At 38.9% G+C, this 22,684-nt stretch overlaps 1 protein-coding gene across 2 annotated transcripts in view; it reads right to left on the bottom strand.

Annotated features, from left to right (window-relative positions):
• Positions 19,540–22,684, bottom strand: part of KL (klotho) — a 49,901-nt gene continuing 46,756 nt past the window's right edge. For both annotated transcript variants that reach the window (XM_006719895.3, NM_004795.4), the window contains exon 5: positions 19,540–21,834. In XM_006719895.3, coding sequence (XP_006719958.1) covers positions 21,497–21,834 — 338 coding nt within the window. In that variant the 3' untranslated portion in view covers positions 19,540–21,496. The remainder of the gene's footprint in view (positions 21,835–22,684) is intronic.

The raw sequence follows: 22,684 nt of genomic DNA, 5'->3' as shown, positions 1-22,684 counted from the left end.
TGTATAGATTGCTCTTTTTTTGATTCATTAAAGGACTTTAACATGATGAAGCTGGTATAATAACTGGCAGATATATTAAACTGCCTGGTAAAATGGCTGTACAGCGGCCTCTTCGTTTCTGTGGCACGAACACAACCTGGCAAATGGCGCGCTCAAGAACATGGCGCTCCTGTATTTATTTAACAGGCTGGAAAGATGAAAACAATTCTCCCAGTGTGCCCAGTGGAAAATTATTGCTGGCGGGAGATAGTAGCTACAGGAACAAAAAGGTAGGAAGTCAGGTCTGATGAAAATGAGCTGAAAGCTCCCCTAGCGCCAGCCCGGTGTTCTTTTTAGATTTTATATTCCACAAAGAGAACATAAAAGGGGACCTTAGCATACATGCTCGTTTTTAAAATAATTCTGTTCCCTCCCTCCCTCTTCTTTCTTTTGTTTCCTTCCTTCCCCTTCCCTTCCCTTCCTCCTTCCTTTCTTTCTCCTTTCCTTCCTTCTCTTCCTTCTTTCTTTTCCTCCTTCCTTCCTTGCTTTAACTCTATAACTCTAACTCTTCCCTTTTCTTCCTTCCTCCCATTCTTCTTTCCCTCCCTTACTCCCTCCTTCCAACCATACTAAGTACTCCATGTTAACAACCTAATGTTGTAGACAAACACATACACCCACTAATATACATATACAAATACCTATGTATATACATAGTTTTGTCATTGTTTATTAATATTAGTCACAGAAATGCAGTGTTATACATTTTTCTGCACCTAGATTTTTCTCAGTAAATACATCAAGGAAATCCTAACCAACTGAACGGTTTTGCGGTAATTTATTCTTTTTAAGGGCTGCATAATATTTTATGATAAAGATGGATTAAAACATCTCCCTATTTATGTTTCAGAATTTTAGTTGTATGAATAATGTTATAATGAACATTGTATATATATGTTCTTATGAAATTATATCATTATGTATTTCTATTATTTAGAATAGCTTCCCAGGAATGAAACTGGTTCACACAAGTGTAGTGAATTTTTATTTTGAAAAATGAAGATATAGCCATACTGCAATTTAAAAATGGCTTTAACAATTCACATTTCATTTGCAAAGGATGACAACACCTTTTCCTCTGCATTCTTACCTCTAAAGAGAGTGATAGTGTTATCATTCTATTATTTTTTTGTTAGTTATATGGTTATAAAGGGACACAAATTTGCATTTCCTTAAGCACTAATAATTTTGACATCTATATGTTTATGGCCATTGTATATACTTTTGGGTAAATTATCCACTTATGTCTACTTTATATTATTTGTTGCTTATTAGAAAGAACTCTTGGTGTTTAAAGATGTTAACTTTCATCTATCATCTGTGATGCAAATGTATTTTTAACTCTATAATTTCTCACTGACCTCGTTTCAATCTCCTACAGATTTTGGTTTCTTTTCTTGGTTAAGAAGTCTCTACAAACCCTAAACTGTATGTATAGGCTCCCAGACTTTCTTCTGAAAATTCATTCATTCACTCATTTATCTATTCATTTATTTATTTTTACACTGAAGTCTTCAGTTCCCTGGAATTTATTTGTCTATATTCTGAGAAACAAGTGCCCATTTCTATTTTCTCCTGGATGGAGAGTCAGCACCTTCCTTCTCACCCTGAATTGAAATAGCAACTTCATAATATATTAAAGTTGCATATATTTTGGAAGCTAGTTGGAAGGTCTGCTATTCAATCACTCTAACATGTTTATTTATTTCAAAAACTGTAAATGACTTATGTATTTGATTATAGTGACTTTGCAGTGTGTTTTAATATCTACACTCACTATTCTTTTCATACATTTTATTCTTGGGCATTTAATTTTCTATATAAACTTTAAGATCACTTAATATTATTTGCAAATGGTGTGCTTCTAATTGGAATTGCAATATATTGTGTAATAATATACATCAATATTATATACGTTATATACATATTGATGTATATAATGAATTTGGGGGGATCTAACATTTAAATTATTTTCAGTCTACAGATCTAAAAACTTAGTATACCTCTAGAACTTAGTATGCTGTTCCATTTGTTTGAGTTTTGTTCTCAGGACTTTAGTTTTCTTCACACAGGATTTCTTTGCATTGTATTACGCCACGAATTAATTTTTTCCATTTCCATGTTAGATGGACTTTTGCTGTTGATTATTACATGTGCATATTTTATATGTCCCCATTTTATCAAATTATCTCATCAATTCAAATACTTTTTTTCTTAAGTCTGTTGGGTTTTTCAGGAATACAATAATATTATCAACAAAAATAGAGTTTTAATCTTTCTTTTCCAATGTTTATATAAATCGTTATTTTTAAAATTTTATTTTAGAGATGGGGTCTTGCTATGTTGCCCAGTCTGGACTCAAACTTCTCAGCTCACAGGATCCTCCTGCCTCAGCTTTCTGAGTAGCTGGGACTATAGGCAGGCATGCCCCTCCACACCTGGCATTGACAAATTATTTTACTGCCTTTTCCCACTGCATTTGCTACAACCTCTAAGACAATAGTAATGGTAAGATCAAACATTCTTATCTGATTCCTGATAATAATTGAAGTGATTTTAGTGTTTTGTTGTTTAAAATAATGTTTGCTTATTTTTGTAGTTTTTGTCACAGTTTTTTGTTTTTTGTTTTTGTTTTTGAGATGGAGTCACGCTCTGTCGCCCTGGCTGGAATGCAATGGCTGGATCTTGGCTCCTGGGTTCAAGTGATCCTCCCACCCCACTCTCCTGAGTACCTGGGATTACATGTGTGCACCACCATGCCTGGCTAATGTTTGTATTTTTAGTAGAGATGGGATTTCACCATGTGGCCAGGCTGGTCTTGAACTCCTGACCTCAACTGGTCCGCCCACCCCGGCCTCCCACAGTGCTGGGATTACAAGCATGAGCCACTGTGCCCGGCCCATAGTTAAAAAGGCTCCTCATGTACATCTTTTCATAAAGTTGTTAAGAATAGCTGCTGGATTTTTATCAAAATGGCTTTTCAGCATCAATTGCTATGTTTATTTTTCTGCTCTAATATGTTGATTTAATGAATATATTGCTGGATTTCCTGAAACCCATATAACCTCGCATTTTTGCAATAAACTCTACTTGACCATAGCGCATTGGTCTGTTAATATATTTTGAGATTGCTCAAGCTAAAATCACATTTAGAGTGTTTTTGCATCTAGTAGATAGCATTGATCTTTTTGCAGTATCCTCATAGGGTTTTAGTAATAAGATTGGCTTTACAAATACATTGAGAACTTGTCTATCTTCTTCCTGGTCTTAAATAGTTTAAATCACATCAGAATTGCCCATTCTTTAAGGTTAAATAGTGTTCAGCTATCAAATTATTCAATCCTGTTAACTTTTTCAATAACACATTTTAATAACTTTTCTAATCTCTTCTTGAGTATTCAGTCTACTCAAGTTTTCTACTGCTTCACTCTATGTTAATAATTTGTATTTTCCTAGGAAATATCAATGTTGTCTAGGTTTCCAAGGTATCTTGTTGAGATTAAAGTTTTTGTACGTGGTCAAGTACCTGATCAACTATTTTTGTAAATATTACATGGACACTTAAAAACTGCATGTTCTTTAGTAGTCACAAATGCATACATTGTATTAAATAAATAGAAACATATTGAATCCACTTTGTACTAGATATTCAGGATGGGCTCAGGATAAATAGGTCAACTTTCTCCCTGTCTCCCTTGGCCCATCACCAAACTCTTGTATAATGGCATTCACCACATCTGTCTCCATTGACTGGGTAACTCCTGTCCCTATTGGCTGGGTAACTCCTATTTATGCTTAGGTCTCAGTTTCATGCCACTTCCTTCAGGAAATCCTCCTTAATACCCTAGACTAGGTTGGGGAACAGTGTCATCATGCACAGAACTCTTTTTTCGTGGCACTTTTCTCATTTGTAATAATACAGTTATTTGTCTAAGTAATAGAGTAATGTCTTTCTCTCCTATTACCTAGTAAACTCCAAGGACGGAATAATGTCAGGTTTATCTTAACCTCAAAACATAGTAGAACATGGTAGTGTACCTGGCACATAGTAGGCAAGCAAAAATGTTTCTTACATGAATGACTGAATGAATGAATGAACAAATGGTCTGTTAATCAGAGGAAATATAAATTTGGAAACTGTCACTGGTAATTTTCCACCACGTGGTTGGAAAGTCAGCCTGACGACTGCTGAAACAGACATGCAAGAAAAAGCTGAGTTGAAACATGGAAGAAAACAAAATTTCCTGGCTCACAAGACTATATCAATCTCCACTGAAAGCTTAAATCAGAAGCCCAATTACATCCCATTCCACGGTTTTGTCAAACCTGATGTAGCCTTATAACTCCACTTTTTGTTAAAGCTAAAAACAATAGATTTCTTTAGTCTTTGTCTAATGCTTCTTTTCTTTTTCAGGATCCCATCGGGGATATCACATAACATTTAATCATCATGTCTCTTGGGCTTTTCTTGGCTCTGACAGTTTCTCGTACTCTGTTTGTTTTTGATGACTTCATCATATATGTGCTTATTTTATTCTGTCTAATTTTATGTTTACTTTATGTTCACTTTGGTTTACTTTGTTGTCTCTTCTCCTTCCTTTTGTTTTTTTAACTAGTTTTCAAAAGCTTCTTGTTATTATCATTTTCCTTTTGATAATATTGTTATTCTACTATAATTTCCTATTCTATAAATGTCCCCTCTCTCTAGAAACTCATAAGAAAGCACATATTCCTGTTTTATAATTTAACTAAACAATATGTAACTTATTTCCGTCACCAAGTTCATCTATCCCAATAAGATGAGTCTTTTAGAATATTTTCACTTCTCTATTCTTCTCCACTCTACCTTTATCCAGATCAGAATGAAATCTTGTAAGTGCTTTGCTTCATTTCACTTTATTCTTCCTCCACCCCTAACTTCTAGGTTTTTCTAAAGTAGCTTAGTATTTCATTCCAGATTACTAGAATTGCCTGGCCAGGCACAGTGGTGGCTCAGTCCTGTAACCCCAGCACTTCGGGAGGTCGAGGCAGGAGTATCGCTTGAGCTCAGGAATTGAGACAACATAGCGAGACCCCCATCTCTAAAAATAATCAAAAAATGAGGCAGGAGGTTAGTTTGAGCCCAAGAGGTCAAGGCTGCAATGAGCCGTGATTGCACCATTGCGCTCCTGGTGATGGAGTGAGACCTGGTGATGCCTGGGTGATGGAGTGAGACCCTGTCTCAAAAAAAAAAAAGAAAAAAAGAAAAAAAGAGAATTGCCTTTTCTAGTTTCAGAATTCTCATTTAGGGTCTACTACTGTCATTGGATTTAATTATATGTGCACTGCTGACAACTGTTTCTTTTCCACCTCATGTGCTCCTGTCTTTGTTGGTGGGGTTGGTGGTACTGGGAGGAGGGTAGTACTGGGAGGAGTACTATGGTACTGTTTGCTTACAGTCTTCCTCTAGCAGTTTCCTCTATCCCAGCTGCATAAGCAACCTACTCTGAACTCACTCTGAAACTCAGCACACACACGCCTTCCTCTTCCCCAAAAGGCCAACGGCATCCTGAGTGGGTCTAAGGATCTCAGGTTGCAGTCCTTTTCTCTCAACAGTCAGGTTCCCCTCCCTGATTTCATGTCAGGTGTTGCACATGAAACATTGAATGACACTCTGATTCTCTAAGTCACTGGTTATTTCTGTCTAGAAGTTTATCATATTTTCTTTTTATTCTTGAAATTTAAGAATTTAACAGACCACCTTCAGTGACTGGGTTTGTTGTTGTTGTTTTTTGTTTTTTGTTTTCTCATCCCTTCTGCTTGGAACTTGGTGAATAGTTTTAATGTGCACATTCAGGTTGTTCTTAATCTCAGACATTTTCTTCTTTTATGAGTTTAACAACTGCCTCTTCTCCAACTGTAGCTTTTCTCTCTGGATCTTCTTTTATTCACATGTCAGTTTGTCCAAGAGATATTCTCCAAAACCCTATTATTTTCTCACATGATGGTCTTCTGCTTGTACTTTTGGTCTGTGTTTTTTTGTTTGTTTGTTTTTGTTTTTTGAGACAGAGTCTCGCTCTGTCACCCATGCTGGAGTGCAGTGGCACAATCTCGGCTCACTGCAACCTCTGCCTCCTGGGTTCAAGCGATTCTCCTGCCTCAGCCCCCCCAGTAGCTGGGACCACAGGCACATCCCACCACACCTGGCTAATTTTGTTTTTGTATTTTTAGTAGAGACAGGGTTTCACCATGTTAGCCAGGATGGCCTCAATCTCCTGACCTTGTGATCCTCCCACCTCAGCCTCCCAAAGTGCTGGGATTACAGACATGAGCCACCATGCCCAGCCTGCTCTGTGTTTTTAAATATTAGCTCCAGTTCAACTTCTAGGCTGTAATTGCAAGTCTCCACAGTGACTGCTACTCTCCTTCAATTCATTTACTAGCATTTTTAGCTCAAAACTCATGCAGAAGAAAGTCTTTTAAAAATATAACTGGCACTCTTATGTGTTTAAGTTTGAATCCATTCATTTAAAAGTTTGCCTAGTGTGTTCTACATGTTTTTCCCCTCTGAACTCTGGGGCCCAGGTCTCACTCTTGGAATCCCTCAGATGATGCCATGGAATGGTGCTTCTCAAATGTGGTCTGCAGATCCCTGGAGGTCCCTGGGACACTTCCAGGGGGTCTACAAGATCAAAACAACTTTCATAGTAATACTAGCATGTTATTTGCCTTTTCCACAGTGTTGATATTTGCCTTAATGACACAAAAGCAATGGTAGGTAAAACTGCTGGTTCCTTAGCACAAATCAAAGCAGTGTCACAAAAACGCATCAGCTGTCACTGTACACTTCAAAACCACATCTGGAGAAAGTGAAGAATGAAAGACTTGAGTCGTTTGTAAAGGTCCTTGTAATAAAAGGCAACTCTGGGGTCACCTCCAGCATGGCGGATCCCGGGCTGTCATCTCCCTCTCCCTAATAGACCAGCTCCAATTCTGGAGAAAGACAAGAGGAGGAAAAGAAAAACACTCATAAAACATACCGGTACTTTTTACAAGAGTAAGGACTGAGAAAAAGAAAAAAATTTACTCCTCAGCTTTCCTTCATCTTTAATGTCATCCAACACCTCATGTGCTGCTTTGGCAACTGAAAAACAAGCTCAGATTGTTCCTAAACCAAGGCACGGCCTGGACAGATGCCGGGAGGCAACACCTGATCCCTCTGATTCAGGACACATGCTCAACCCAACCCTGAGCTGACTGTTTTCTCTGCTACATGCCTGTATTCTTCATCAGGGTGAAGGAAGCATGAACTCTTGCTAGAGAACCATAGTCTCCTTTCTTCTAGTAATATAATTTCCTTCTGGGAGCAGGGCTGGATAAATAATTTGCAGGACCCAATGCAAAAAGAAAATGAAGACCTCTTGTAAAAAAAAAAGTGCTATAAAAGGTAATAAAATATAAGAATTTTTCCTTTAAAAATATCTTGTTCCAGGCCAGGCATGGCAGCTCACACCTGTAATCCGAGCACTTTGGGAGGCTGAGGTGAGGGGATCACCTGAGGTCAGAAGTTCGAGACCAGCCTGGTCAACATGGCGAAACCCTGCCTCTACTAAAAATACAAAAATTAGCCAGGTGTGGTGGTGCATGCCTGTAATCCCAGCTACTCGGGAGGCTGAGGCAGAAGAATCACTTGAACCTGGGAGGCAGGGGTTGCAGTGAGCTGAGATCATGCCATTGCACTCCAGCCTGAGCTACAGAGTGAGACTCCCTCTCAAAAAAAAAAAAAAAAAAAGATATATATATATAGTTCCAAAAAAAGTAATAGGAGTAATAGTGATACATGAATAGCAACATAAACATGCATATTTGCAAAATAATATTTTGGTGTTACAATCTTACGTAATGTAATAAGTGATTGTATTCTATTAATGTGGTATCTTGATTTGATTGTGAGATTTTTCTAGCTTACTTGTCTAGAAATATATTAGATTGTCAAAATCTAAACATTTAGCAACTTTATTTTTAATAGATGTATATAATTAAAAGCAACATCAATCACTTTTGCAGATGCAAGATTACAATCAATTTTTGGATAATTTTTAATTTTGAGAAGGATCTTCCTAGGTACGTAACTGTTACTGGAGCCATTGAGAGTATGTTATTGGTTATGAAAACATTACTGGGATTATTTCAGGATATTATATTGGGATACGTTTCTGATAAATTATATCAAAATGTGAGTTGTGTTATATCTAGATTCCTGCAGAACAATTTTTCTAAAAGATTTATCTCTGTACGAATCAGTTTTATGTAAGTCTGAAGTTAACTTTAAATGTGAATTTATACTGTGTTATATCATGTTCTTTTGTTGTTGTTGTTGTTTTCTGTTTTGTTTTTTGGGGCCAGGGTCTCACTCTGTTGCTCAGGCTGGAGTGCAGCGGTATGATCTCAGCTCACCATTACCTCCACCTCCCAGTTTCAACCAATTCTCCTGCCTCACCCTTCCAAGTAGCTGGGATTATAGGCATGTGCCACCATGCCTGGCTAATTTTTGTATTTTTAGTAGACAGGAGGTTTCACCATGTTGGCCAGGCTGGTCTTGAACTCCTGGCCTCAAGTGATCTACCCACCTTGGCTCCCAAAGTGCTGGGATTACAGGTGTGAGCCACCGTACCTGGCCAATACAATATTATATAATGTTATTTTAATGTTGCCTCTGAAATTTCCTATAATTTTCCTATAACTTATGGAGCTGCCATTGCCACCTCTGCTGCTGCTGCTGTTACACATGCTGGGCTGGCCACACCCTTAGAAACCCACCGTACCTTGGACTTCCCTGAGGCACGCACATGAGACCCGGCCAACCGCTGTGTATGCACCCTGCCCACCTGCCCTGGGCTGCTGCTCACCACACCCCATCCATGTGGGCACTGCTGCCTGGCATATCCCCTCTGCCTATGCGCAGGCTACACTAGCCCACAGACATAATCACAAAACACAAGTCCAAAGAGGAAGTCATATTAAGAATTTCAAGACGGTCACAGAAGAACATTAAGCTATGCAATTACACAGGTGACACTGCCATGAAGCCAGCCCTGCCTGGGAGCCCGGGCATAGAGCAATGATAATTTCTGCTTTCCCAGACGCTAGTCACTAGTGGTTTGAATTGAAGTGTTTAATGCACTTTGTATTGCCAAGCTAGTAAGTAATTTGTCTTATCAATCTTCGGTTACAGTCTCTCCTCCTAGAAACAGTAAAGGCTCTGTACAGCTTTCTAAGCCAGCAATTGTCTCTCCTCTTTGTAAATGAGTTGGCTGTCTTTCCTAGGAAACCAATCTGAACATAGCTTTGAATAGTCACTAATGACTTAAATTAGTTGCTGGGTCTTTCTGAGTCCTTAATTTTCTCCAAGAGTTATTAGCTCAGGCATAGAGAAACACCAGACTTATCTAGCCACTGAAATCACCATGGCCATAAATGCAGTTCACAGCGTAATTCAGAGTGCAAGTTCTGAAGCAATCCTGCCTATTTAAATCCTATTTCTACTTCACCTTTCCTACTGCAAGCCTTTGGCATAAGCTATGGTTTGAATGTATCCCCTCCAAAATTCAGGTGTTGCCAATATGATAGTATGAAGAAGTGGGGCCTTTAATAGGTGATTAGGCCATGAGAGCTTCTTCCTCATTAATGGGATTAAGGCCTTTATAAAAGAGGCTTCACATAGCATTCTGCTAATTCACTCTCTTTGCCCTCTACCTTCTACCATGTGAGTACACAGCAAGAAGGCTGCCACCTTGATCTTAGACTTCCAGCCTCCATTACTGTGAGAAATAAATTTCTGTTCTTAAATTACTCCGTCTGTGGTCTTGTGTTACAGCAGCACAGACTAAAACAGCATGTTATTCACTTCTGTATACCTGTTTTCTTGTCTTTAAAATGAAGATAATAGAATATCTTCAAACATAAGGCTTGATAAGTGTTTATTACACTCCAGTTCTAAATAAATGGGGTTCAATCTCTTAGCTTACAGCAGTGATGTTCCTAAGAAGACAAAAATGCTAGCTTTGACTTGCTTAACTCTTTTCTATTAGATGTAGAGGATGTTTACTATTGCTTTCTGAAGGGGTCTGCAAAACAGCAGAAATGGGAACCCAATTCAGCAAGGCCATTACAAAAGTACAGCTGGGTGAAGGCTGCTGCAGAATCAGCTGAGGGTGTGTGTGTGTGTGTGTGTGTGTGTGTGTGTGTGTAGGTAAGTCGGTAGGTATGTGTGTGAAGAAAAGGCTCTGGGTCTGCGTATGATCTACCCTGTGCTTACGTGAAAGGCGGCCCTGGGTGTCCATGTATATATCACCAACAAATACGTGCAGCTTTCATTTGATTACTGGAATTGCTTCCTCTTGTTTACCTGTCAGTTGTCAGCAGGGCTCCAGTGAGACAACACAGATAAGTAATACAGAACAGACCACCTCCTCTTACCCACACAAGACAAAGAGCAGGCATTTTTTAAGTGTTTTGTTTTAAGTGAGATGAGGCTTTTCAAACCTACCTTATGTAATATTTGGTCATGGATTTGAAGTACAAGCCAACAGCAAGGTTCTGTAAAAAGGAATTAGAATTTAAAAAGAAATTCACATTGAAGTTTCATCAGCTTTGCTAGTATGGACTAAAAGGTTAATTCAGGTTAATTCATCAACCCTATATGCCAACAGAAAGGCATGTTAAAAATTAATTTCTTCCTGACAGATTTTATAAAATATATGTGTGACCTGTTACAAGGAAATCAAATCATCAAAAATGATGAAGTTGTAACATTTTGTTAAATTCTCCCATGAGATTTGTATTATAGAATATCTGCAGGTGTCTCTGGCTCTAAAGGAGTGGCCTCTAGAAATGGTCATGAAACTTGTGTCCTACCCATTCCCCTGTCTCCACGGGCCTACGCCTGTTCTGCCCCCCACCCAGGACGAGGCCTGGCTGTCCAAGGTTGTCCCACAGAGTGCTTATCCCACTTTTTGTTGCCTTCTGCACCAGCTGTATTAAGATCTGATGAAAAGCTGAACAAGGAAAAGAGAAACCACGTTGGGATTCAAACCACAGAGGGAATGTTATACACAGAATTGGTTATGCGGTGGGTAATGGAATTGCTGAGAAGCCAACTGGGGATGATAAGGAAACACTAAGAGTAGCAACAGTAGAAAGCTACTACTTCCCCTGGGCTACAGGATGACAGAGGACAGAGGATGTGTTACTGGGCTCCCAGGAGTCAGGGTCACCTGGGAGAGGCTGGCAGTCTCACGCAGTGAGACTGGAGCCATGAAAGAGATTCAGGGCTACATCTCAGACCAATTAAATTGGAATCCCTGCCATCAGTGGTTTTTAAAACTCCCCAAGTGATTCCAAAGCGCAGCCAAGACTGAGAGCCGCTGCTTCGAGTGCCTAGGCAGAATCTGCATTGCCAGATCAACTCTGTTCCAGACTGAGCAGACATGGGGAGAAGAGCTGTGGCCATGCCATCACTCAGGGTCCAAAGCAGGGACCAAATGTACCAATAGATCAGAAAACCAACCCGTTCTCAGGTATCTTTGAAGAAATAACCAAGAACCAGATTTGATTTATAGAACTTTTCTTCATAAGTGACTTCTTAGTAATTGCTCTATAAAAAACTATTTTAAAGAGCCATAATTTTGCTTAATGTATATTGAAAAAAGTGATTAAATATAACACTGTATGCCACTTACAGTAAACCAGTATTATCTAGCACAATCGATGAAAACGTCATTTTGAATATATATAAATTGACTGGAGTAGGATATCCTGCTTAATAACTCTATTAACTTGCACATATTAAGTGTGTGCTAATTATTTGTTGAATGAACTAATCATCAAAGGAAGATTAATGTACAATGTGATATTACTGTGATTTTTATTGTGTTTTAATTCCTTGAAAATTGATAATCTATGATAATACATATAATGAATCTTTTAACGAGAAACAAACATCTTCATATGGTCTTTTTTTAAAACTGACTGAGAAGGCCTTTTAGGATTTTGTACAGCCCTGGGGTAATCACCATGAACACCAATTATCATCATGAATATTGTTAAAGAGAAGTGTGATTGGCAAAATGCCAGATAACAGAGTTCAATTGAGCCCCAGGTAACTGGAAAAACAGTTGACTCCTTTTAACGAACCACCTGTAATAAATTTCTATGCCCTTTTTCACTGGGCATTTATTCATACAAGAAATGCTTATTAGGCAGTTAATATGTGTCCTGGGGAGTAACAAGGCAAATAAGGTCGTTGCCTCAGAGCACTTTATAATCAAATGGAAGGGATTAAACAATCACACAAGTCCCATAGGAGGTGATAGGTGCTAATTCTGTTTAGTGAGGTTTGGGGATGACCAGGCCAGGGGACATGAGAGGAGAGGTCTGAGAACAAATACCAACCAGCTGGGAGTAGGATGCAAAGATGCTCCTGGAAGAGGCAAGTGACGTAATCAAAATGGTGCTTGCCGTAAGGCTCTTGATTCAGTTACTCTTCTAACATGTTAAAAATAAGAAGAAGAAAGCAGATAATTTTGTCATTTTTTTCAAACCAGAAAACCAGTTAGGGATTATTGGAAAAGTCTGTGCAAAGAGTGCAAAGAGTACAATTGCAGCAAGCACCCAGATGAAGGGTGGATGCTGCAAATACCACAGTGAAAAGAATCCATAGAATTTCACACCTGAATGTCTCCAAGGGTTGTTTGGGGTAAATTAGGGAAACAGAAAGGAAGAGCTAATTAGAAAGGAAAGATAGTGAATATTGCCTTTCAGATCTATCTGGTTGAAGGCTGAATAGACATCCAACAAGAGACATCCACCATGAATGCACTAAACAATTCACAGTTTACAAAGTAGTTTTGCTATGATACTGTGTAATCTGTACGCAGAAATAAAACACTCGTGTCACTCGTATTCCAAAATATTTTGAACAAAAGTGTGCATTTCTTGGTTAACACAGTATTCTTAAAGGCCTTCAAAAATAGCAGCGCAAGTCACCTGTATGTGCATCAAACATGTACAATTTCCACTTCACTTTCACAAAAAAAAACCACAATGGTGACGATGATGTCATCCAGGCTTTTAGGTTTATGTTGAGGAAAACTAGATGCAGTGGCCATCATGTGATGTGAGTGATGAGCCTGGCTTGGCACAGTGTAGATTTGTGCTTCACTGTCAAGGGCTAGAGAGACAACAGAGACAATGGAGAGTCTATTTTGCAATTCTATTGCAATTGGGTTGGTAAGAACTGTGGGTGGTAAAAACCCACAGTTTGCTTCATAAGCATGATAGCATTTGATTCTTCTTTTTTCTCTATCTCTTTAGCAGTCACAGAAGTGGGTTCAGTGTGAGAGAGAGCCAGATGATAATAATTTACATCTGGACAATGCTTTTACATTGATAAACTATGTTCTCATATGACATGAACACCCTGAAGCTTTCAAATAGCCCTGGAAGGTGGGTGCATTACAAATGGATGCACCAAACACAGAAAAGAAATGGCAATTAAACCTAGGTCTCACGATGTCTCCAGGTGAGAAAGAGCAGGTCTATGACAGGCTTAGAGAGTTTGTTCCAGAACTATTATTTTTTTCAGACTTCAACCTGCCCAACGCAGCAATCTCCCTTCAAGACTAGCTTCGTTCTGTCTTCATTCAACATATATTTTAAAATATATTTTTAATGATAAAAAAGTTCCAATAAATTTAAAACATTTGTCTCCTAATTCACATCTTGTCTGTTATCAGTAAACATGCACATAATATTATGTGCATTATCATACAGATCTGCTGTTTTTCATTTTTGTTATCTCATATTGAATATACATCACCAGAAGATGTTTGAGCATATAGGATGTTTTCAGCATAAGGCTCTTGATTTAGTTACTCTTCCAACATGTTAAAAATAAGAAAAAAAAAGCAGATAATTTTGACTTTTTTTCATGATTTTTTATATTAAAGTTATTTCCAATTTTAAAAAGTATGGTAATTTAGACTTTGAAGTCTGTTTTAAAAATTTTAAATTGTAGTCATCTGCACCTAAAAGGTCTGTTTCACAGAAAACCGAACACTGCATGTTCTCACTTCTAAGTGCGGGCTGAATGATAAGAACACATGGACACACTGGGGGGAGCAACACATACTGGGGCCCGTCAGGGGTGGGGCAAGGGGAGGGAGAGCATTAGGAAGAATAGCTAATGGAGGCTGGGCTTAATACCTAGGTGATGGGCTGATCTGTGCAGCAAACCAACATGGCACACATTTACCTATGTAACGAATGTGCACATCCTGCATGTGTACCACAGAACTTAAAATATTAAAAAACACGTCTGTTTCAAACAATGATTATGCATTTAAAGTGATAATTTGTTTGTTAGGACATCATGTCTTAAGGTTTTCATTGTGGCAACCTTAAATCAGTACCTGTTTTCCATCCATGGCACTTGTTGCATTCTGACGCTTTCTATGATACCATTTCAGTAACAACAGACTAATAGTTCTTTTCTCTCTGTCTCTTGTTATCCCTATTAGAACAAATTATATCCCTCAATCAACCCAGAGGGCCCTTAGCCCCTTGCTACTCAAACTGTGGTCCACAGAAGAGCAGCATCATGGGCACTCCTGGGAGGCTGTTAGAAATGCAAACCCTTGGGCCCATCCTAGACCTCTAGAATCAGAATTGGCATTTGACTAAGATCCCCAGGTGACTCATATGTGTGTTAAAGTCAGCAACGCACTGATTAGATCACTGGTTCTCAATTTCAGCTTCCCATTGCAATCACCTGGGAGCTAGCTCCACTGCCCCCCAGAAAAACTGACTTCATTAGTCTGAGGAATTTTTTAAATCCCAGGCGATTCTGATGTGTAACCAAGGTAGAAAAGCACTGGTCCTGATTAACTCCCTCTTTTTATAGACAAGAAAACAATGAGGCCCCGTGGGTTAAGGTGACTTCCTCTGGGTTATAAAGCAAATTTGCAAGTAGAACTAGAAAATAGGGGCTCTCTACCTGGTTTAGGTACCAGATACCTAACTGGTACCAATTTGGAATAAATATAAGAGCCTGCTCCACCCAAAACCTGGGCCCAGGGCCTCTGTTGTAGTTCCTGGAAGCTGGCATATTACTGCCTTGCCCTTCCACTCCACTTTCTCAACTCAGGCATGCTCTGACTTTCTGGACACACTTGAATTCGTTGCCTACAGTTCTCCTCTATCCTTCGCTTTCCTCCCTTCCTCCACTGGGCCCACTCCCACAAGCCCTAAAACCATCCCCAGCCTTTTCAGCCTCTTTGTACACGACCTTCCTCGTATCCTGGAGGAACACTCCCTGAGCTTCCCCTCCAACGGCTGGCTTCTCCTTCATCAGTCCTCTTGATGCAAGCTGGAAATGCTTCACTCCTAAGCCCTCGAATTCCGACATTCCTGTTTCTCGTTCAATTGCCTGTGCACTGGTCTTTCTCGCCTTCTTATATTCACTGGATCTGCCCTTGACTACACCCTTCCACAAAGCCCCGTGGTTCTCCATGAACAGGGTGTCAGAATCAGTCGGGAGTGATCCCTTACCAAGCCATGGGTGCTGCCGCCATCTTCCCCCAAAGGCACTTTCGAAAGCGTGGGCTGGGAGGGGAAAAGGCCTGGTCTTCTGCATTTAGCCAGCACATCCCAGAGCATGCAGATTCAGAGGTACTACTCCACTCTGGGGCTCTCCCCAAGGCTGCAAGCCCATTACCTAATTTCTGGTTTCCCTCAGCTCCTTCCTCTCTGTCTGAGTGAACCAGTGCAGCCATGTTGCCAACACTGCTGGAATCTTGCAGCTCATCCTGTCAACATGATGGTCGTAGTAACCCCACATTGTGTTTGTTTTGGTGGATTGTTAGGCCCATAACAGGCACAGGTAAAATAAGGACATTTAACATGGTACCAATTTGGGATAAAAGTTGGTTCAATCTCATCTCGTCTTTTACTAATAAAATATCTCTATCTGACCCATCCATCTTCCTCTAATTATATCTCTGTTGTGTCCTCTCTGGCTTACCACTACTGCCCCCTGTTGATTGAAATGTTGTATTTTGAAGCCTTGGGGCTACTTACCAGAGACTCGTGGTTCTCATAATTTAAAGGGGAAAAAATATGGTTATAAAACCAATATGCCTTAAATGCAATACTGTGACCTTGGAACACTATTGAATTTGCCATCTAACATGTTGGATATAAATTATCCAAAGCTTTGATTCACATGGAAAACCAACTGAAATGTCTTAGGCAAAATTTATGGTCACAGCCATAATTAGACAACAACTGGTATAATATCGAAAGGAAATTGAATTTTATAAACTGATCAATTGAGATTTTAAACAGAAAAAAAGGTCAGTCTATTCCAGCAGTTTATTAAGGAATAATGTTTCCGTTGAAGATAATGTATACAAAATAAATTAGGTCACTTAACATTAATTCATTTTACCATAAAGTAAACATATTGAAAAATTATACTAAAATCAGAAAGTCTACCAGAGATTTTTGAATCTCATAAAAATTAATGAGCCTTCAATTATTTACCAACCAAATAACAAATATACACATTTTAATGTTTTGTCTGTGTCATTAGATTATTTCAAAAGAGCAGATGGTTCAACATATTGATACAGAAATATCTGCTGCCAAATTATCTTCAGAATTCTATCAATCCAACATTTGTAAAATTTGAATCCAAGAAGGTAATTTGGTATTATTAAGTAAATGTGGGGCTTCGTTTTTCTAAATTTAGTTTTACCAAGGGTATTCTATGAAAATGTATATTCAAAGTCACAAATAAAATAACTAGAAGGCTTCAGGATGAATCATTTTGACTGTAATAGTCCCTAGTTTTACATTATTGAGCTCAAAATATCTGATTAACAAGAAATCACATGCACATTAAGGGTAAGTTGTATGAGTCTAGGAAAAAAATAACGTCTGGGGTAGATACCCAAGGTATTGAATATTTCCTATGTTCAGCACTGTGCTAAGATAGACACTCCCATTTCAAAGATGAGGAAACTGAAGTTCACCAAGGATTGCGTTACCCAAAACTACCCAACTGTAAGGTCATTTTGAGCCTGGTCTTGTTCTTCTTTCTCTGCCTTTTTATCTCAATAATATGTAGGTTGAAATTGTTTTCTTCTCTAACCCAATGGGTAAAAAAAAAAAAAAAAAAAAAAAAAAAAAAAAAAAAGCAGAGGTCGGGGGACTTGAGTAGTAGTCACCAAGTCTTTTCTGGTATGCAGAAATCATGTAAAACAAGATTTCACCATATTGTAGGTGTCCTGTCACCATTATTAGTGGCATTTCCACCCTTTGCTCAAGGTTCCCTGTGGGTTTTCTGGACCTCTTTCTCCTTGATATCAGACAATGGGTGTTTAACCACAAAGATATGGAAAAAACAAGTTCCAGGAAATGTCCTACAACCAGCAAAACTCCAACAATATTTAGTGGTTATAAAAATGGAAAAATGCAATGGGTCTGAGGGGAAAAGCTACACATTCTAGGAAACTAAGTATTTGGAGATGACATAAAGGGTTCCTCTAAAATACTGTTTTTGTTTACAGATAAAGAACTCAGCCTGAGAGAGAAAGATTACTGACTAGTTGAAAGACATGTGGATAAGGAAGACAAAAAGTTACAACCTTTCACTTAGTGATTTGTCTGGAGGCAACAATTTAGGACAGCAGTAAGTTTTACTGCCTCTCTACCTAGTAAGACAGGTTATCATTCCTTCCTCTGAATATATAGGATGGAGCTGTGTGGCATCTAACACATCGTCATTGCTGGCTGACAGGTGATCTCTATTAAACCAGTCTCTGGGCACAGGTGATGGCAGTGAGCTAATTCTGCTTATCATTTATTCCGTCATGTATTCAATTAATCAACATTTGTTGAACAATATCATGTAAGAGATACTGCGCTAAACACTGTAAAAAATATACCAGACAAGACATGGCCTCTGCCTTCCCCTCTAGAACCGAGGTCCTCCCATCCAGGATGGCCAACATGCTCCAAATTAACATGTTCCTTTCCAAGTGCAAATTTCCAGCAGCATTGCTCAATATTAAATATTAAACAAATATGCTATAGACCAATCTAATTACTTAGTACCAAAATTACTTAGTACCAAAAAAAATGTGAAATATCTCAATAATGTTTATATCAATTACAAGTTGAAAATACAATATTTTGGATATACTGGAAAGAATAAAATATATTATTAAAATTTATCTCTTCTATGCCTTTTTATTTTTTAATATGACTACTAGAAAATTTAAAATGAAATACATGGCTTGCTTGTATCTGTTGAACAGCACTATCATAAATAATTTAATGGAAAACTTCCAAGGCTCTAATAGAGTCTTCTTGTTATTATTTCAGAGACAGGTCTCATTCTGTTGCCCAAGTTGGAGTGCAATGGCATGAACATAGTTCACTGCAGCCTCAACCTCCTGAGTTCAAGTGATCCTCCCACCTCAACCTCCCGAGTAGCTGGGACTACAGGTGCACAGCACCACGCCCGGCTAATTTTTAGAAGTTTTTGTAGAGACGGGTCTCACTATGTTGCCCAGGCTGGTCTCAAATTTCTAGCCTCAATTGATCCTCCTGCCTTGGCCTCCCAAAGTGTGGGGATTACAGGCATGAGCCAACAGGACCAAGTCAGATTCTAAGTATTGACTGTGGAAGTCAAAGATAAAATGACGTGTCACTAATGAAACTGGAAAACCGTCCTTCCAAAGCAGGGCAAAATGAACGGCGGATAAAAGTCCACCTGGGATCAAAGGAATACGCCGCGAATGCAGGGCGAATACAAGTGTGTAGGAAACAGCCCAGACACACTGGGGAACCACAAGTCGGCCACTTAGCGCCCCTGTAGAATTGGCCCACAAAGGAAGAAGAGGTGTAGGCATTCTGGAGGATGGTTTCTGTATTATATGTACACCAGAATTCATGAGAGGAAAGCATCAGAGAAGAAGACTAGAGTGGAAAGAACGCGGTGCTCTGAGACGCGGTGGAGGAATGAGTGCACTTCGCCCCACCAGGGCCAGGAAGTCCCCGCCTCCAGCGCCGCCGCCTAGTGTCCCGGGGCTGATCCTAGAGGTGCCCTCCTTTCGTTCACCCCAAGCTACCTGCGAAGTTTTACCGACTCAGAGTCAGCATGAGGCGGGCATTAGAAGGTAGCTGGATGGTTCTCAGAGGTCGCTTCTCTTCGCGGCTCTGGCTTCTGTTTTGTCCTTTTCAGCTCTTGTGTATTTCGCTGTCTCATCTCTGAAATTCTCTCTGCTCCACACATGGCCTAGCCTGGGTCGCCCTCCCACCCCTACCATCTTCCAGCCGCGTGGGTCAGGCCTCTTGCAGTCACACCCATTTCTCCACTGCTCCCATCACATCTTAGGTGGCTTAGTCAACTCAAGTTTTTTTAATTACAAAAAAATTAGCTAGCAACCACTCATATGATTATGAAAGAAGGCAAAAAGTTGCAGGCAGATTTATTATTAATATAATACTTTATCAAGGAGCAAAATTACTTCTCTTTACAGTCAAGGAAATTAAAGTAAATGTAGCAACAAAATTATTTTTAAACAACATTCATCAACATTAATAAGAAACTAGTCTAACAAACGGGAACGGTTAAGTTGTGATACATTCCTGTGGTGGAATACTCAACAACTATTAAAAATCATGCTTTTGAAGACTAATAATGACAAAGGAAAGTTTCATAATAAAAATTAATAAAGATACTAACTATATACAATATGATCTATGTAAAATAAAATACGTAGGAAATGTTAATAGTGGCTATTTCTGGGTTCTGAGATTATAGATAATTTTTATTTTTTCTTTGCATATAGTTTCTGTGTTTTAAAAATTTTTACAATGAACATATATTACTCTTATAATCAGAAAAATATATACATAAAATAAACTTGATTCTCTAGCATCCAATTTTAATAAGTCCACTTTAAAATGAATATTACCAAAAGCTTATCTTTCATGAAAAAATCATACCTCTAAAGATGATATATTATATAGTACAGTATATTATTATACACTATGACCCTGTGTCAGTGAGGTTGGCAATGCCTGTTATGACATTGGTTTATCTTGCCTGATACAATATTGACTTATCTATAAAACAGCTCCAGTGTAATAGAGAGACTTCCCTGTCTGAAAATCAGCAAGACTTATTTAAGGGGCATTAAAGGATGAGACCTAATTAGCCCTTTCTAGATATCACTAGCATGTTTCAGCGTGAAAGTTCAAAGTAAAACTAGTTCAAAGCTACTTCCACAGAAGTAGCAGCAAAAACATAAAATAGACCTCAGAGATCACAGAAACAAATCCAGTGTTATTCAGACCAGATTGCTTTTGAACCTATTAAGAATTTGTAAAACTATCAACTCAAAGAAATTACAGTACAGCTAAAGAATAGAAAGTAGTGTCACTGTTCATAGAATGAGTGATTATTTCATCCTTATTCTCTAGGGAAAGGTCATGTCATTCATTCCAAGATCTGCTCAAAAATGGTGTATAATCAGATTAATCATAATGTTGCACATAATAAGCACTTTTTCCTCCTTTCCTCCACCTAGAGCCACTGCGGTATACTGTATTTCACAATTGCTTTATGCTTCCTGAAGAGCCCAATATCACAGGATTCATGTTTGTTTTTCCGCAGATACTTATCAAAAGTTTCCTATGTGCAAGGCCCTCAACAAGATGCCAGTGAGACAGATCCCTCAGGGACACAGGGTTTAGACAGGACCTCAAAAATCATATAAAATACACATTTCCATAATTTGCTCTCCAAGTATGTCATTAACCAGATACATAAATTAATACTAGTATTTGATAGAAGCATTGCTTTCGAAAGGAACATTCCAGCCTAGGACCCTCTGTCGTCTCTCCTGTATCTGCCATCTTCTTTTCCATAGGAAACTAGATTTGACAGAGGGGAAGCCACTAGGCATTATTATGGCAGCTGAGAAATGGTTACTTGGTACATAACTTTCTATTCGAACTCTTGCAATTACTACTTCCAGAAAAACATTAAATTTAGAAGTGGGTGCAGAAGAAAATATTCCTAATCTTGTCATTCAAATTTCTGCACAAATGTTGCATTGGTGTGGTTCCTATTTTTCATGCTTTTGTTAGTGTGTTACAGAAATTATAGTGCCTGTCAGTTTTTTAATCACCCAAAAAGAGAACAAATTCAGGCACTATTCGCATTATTCAATATTTTACGATCACCTATGCCCATTTCAAAACCTCTGTCATAAGCCACAAAAATGTTTTCTAGAAGTCAAATGTATGAAATTTACAGTTTCACAACACTTAGAGGTGCAAATGGTTAACAGCTGATGTGTCTGCATAATTATTTCAAAATGAATGAATAGAAAAATGTTCAGAACTATTTGTAACTTCTTCTGCCTTTCTTCGAGTAGTAAAATATAAGGGAGAGAGAAATAATAGAAGCAAAAAATAGAAAAGCTATGAAAGCCAGTAAAGACTTTCGGGTGTGAAAAAAACTGCACTCAGTACACACGGTGAATTCTTCTGGACAAAATCTTTCCAGAGTTTCTGGGCCCGGGAAACCATTGCTGTCAATAATTTTCCTGTAATGTTTCATGGATGCCTTGGGCTCAAACTGATCTGCAGCATAACGATAGAGGCCAAACCTCGGAGCTGTGCGGTCGTTAAACGAATAAGCAAAGTATCCGCAAAGATTGATACCATCCAGTATGTGGGCTGGAAAAACAAAAGGATAGGAGAGTAGTTATTACGTATTTTGCACACAACACATCACTTTTTTTTTTTTTTGAGACGGAGTCTTGCTCTGTCACACAGGCTGGAGTGCAATGGCACCATCTTGACTCACTGCAACCTCCGCCTCCCAGGTTCAACAGATTCTCCTGCCTCAGCCTCCTGAGTAGCTGGGACTACAGGTGAGCACCACCACACCTGGCAAATTTTTGTATTTTTTTTTTTAGTAGAGATGGGATTTCGCCATGTTGGCCAGGATGGTCTCGATTTCTTGACCTTGTGATCTGCCTGCCTCAGCCTCCCAAAGTGCTGGGATTACAGGCGTGAGTCACCACGCCCGGCCACTTTTACGTAGCCTTCCTGCTGGGAAGTTTCCGATACCATTTAATACAACTTCAGACTCAATTAGATTTCATCAGAAAAGGCTTTATTTTATGTAAAGCCAAATAGGCAAATTATCAAGACAAATATTGAGCTGCATTTAGCAGGGTTGAAACCCAGGGGTTAATTGGATCAGGTCTGCCTGTCCTGCTTGCTTTTGGTCACTTGCTTTTCGTGTGTGTATGTGTTTTTTTTTTTTCCTTTTTCCATGAAGCTGAAGGTTGTCCCATTGTATGCTGAAACTTAACCTTCACTGGCTACTTTACTGATGACATTCATAGGTTACCATGGCAATGGTCACTTCAGTTGTTTTTCCAAGAACTTGGGGCAGCTCCTGTCCAGTTCAAACTAGTTAAGACCACTGACCCTTCCACTGGGCCTGCACAAGTGCCTGAGAGGTGGTCTTTTGACGTCAGAGGGCCCAAAACTCTGCCCTCAGATCATGCTAACACCA

This window comes from Homo sapiens, chromosome 13 (assembly GCF_000001405.40).
Source record: "Homo sapiens chromosome 13, GRCh38.p14 Primary Assembly".
Taxonomy (NCBI): domain Eukaryota; kingdom Metazoa; phylum Chordata; class Mammalia; order Primates; family Hominidae; genus Homo; species Homo sapiens.
The sequence above is the reverse complement of the archived record's forward strand: the minus strand, read 5'-3'. Positions and strand labels throughout refer to the sequence as shown.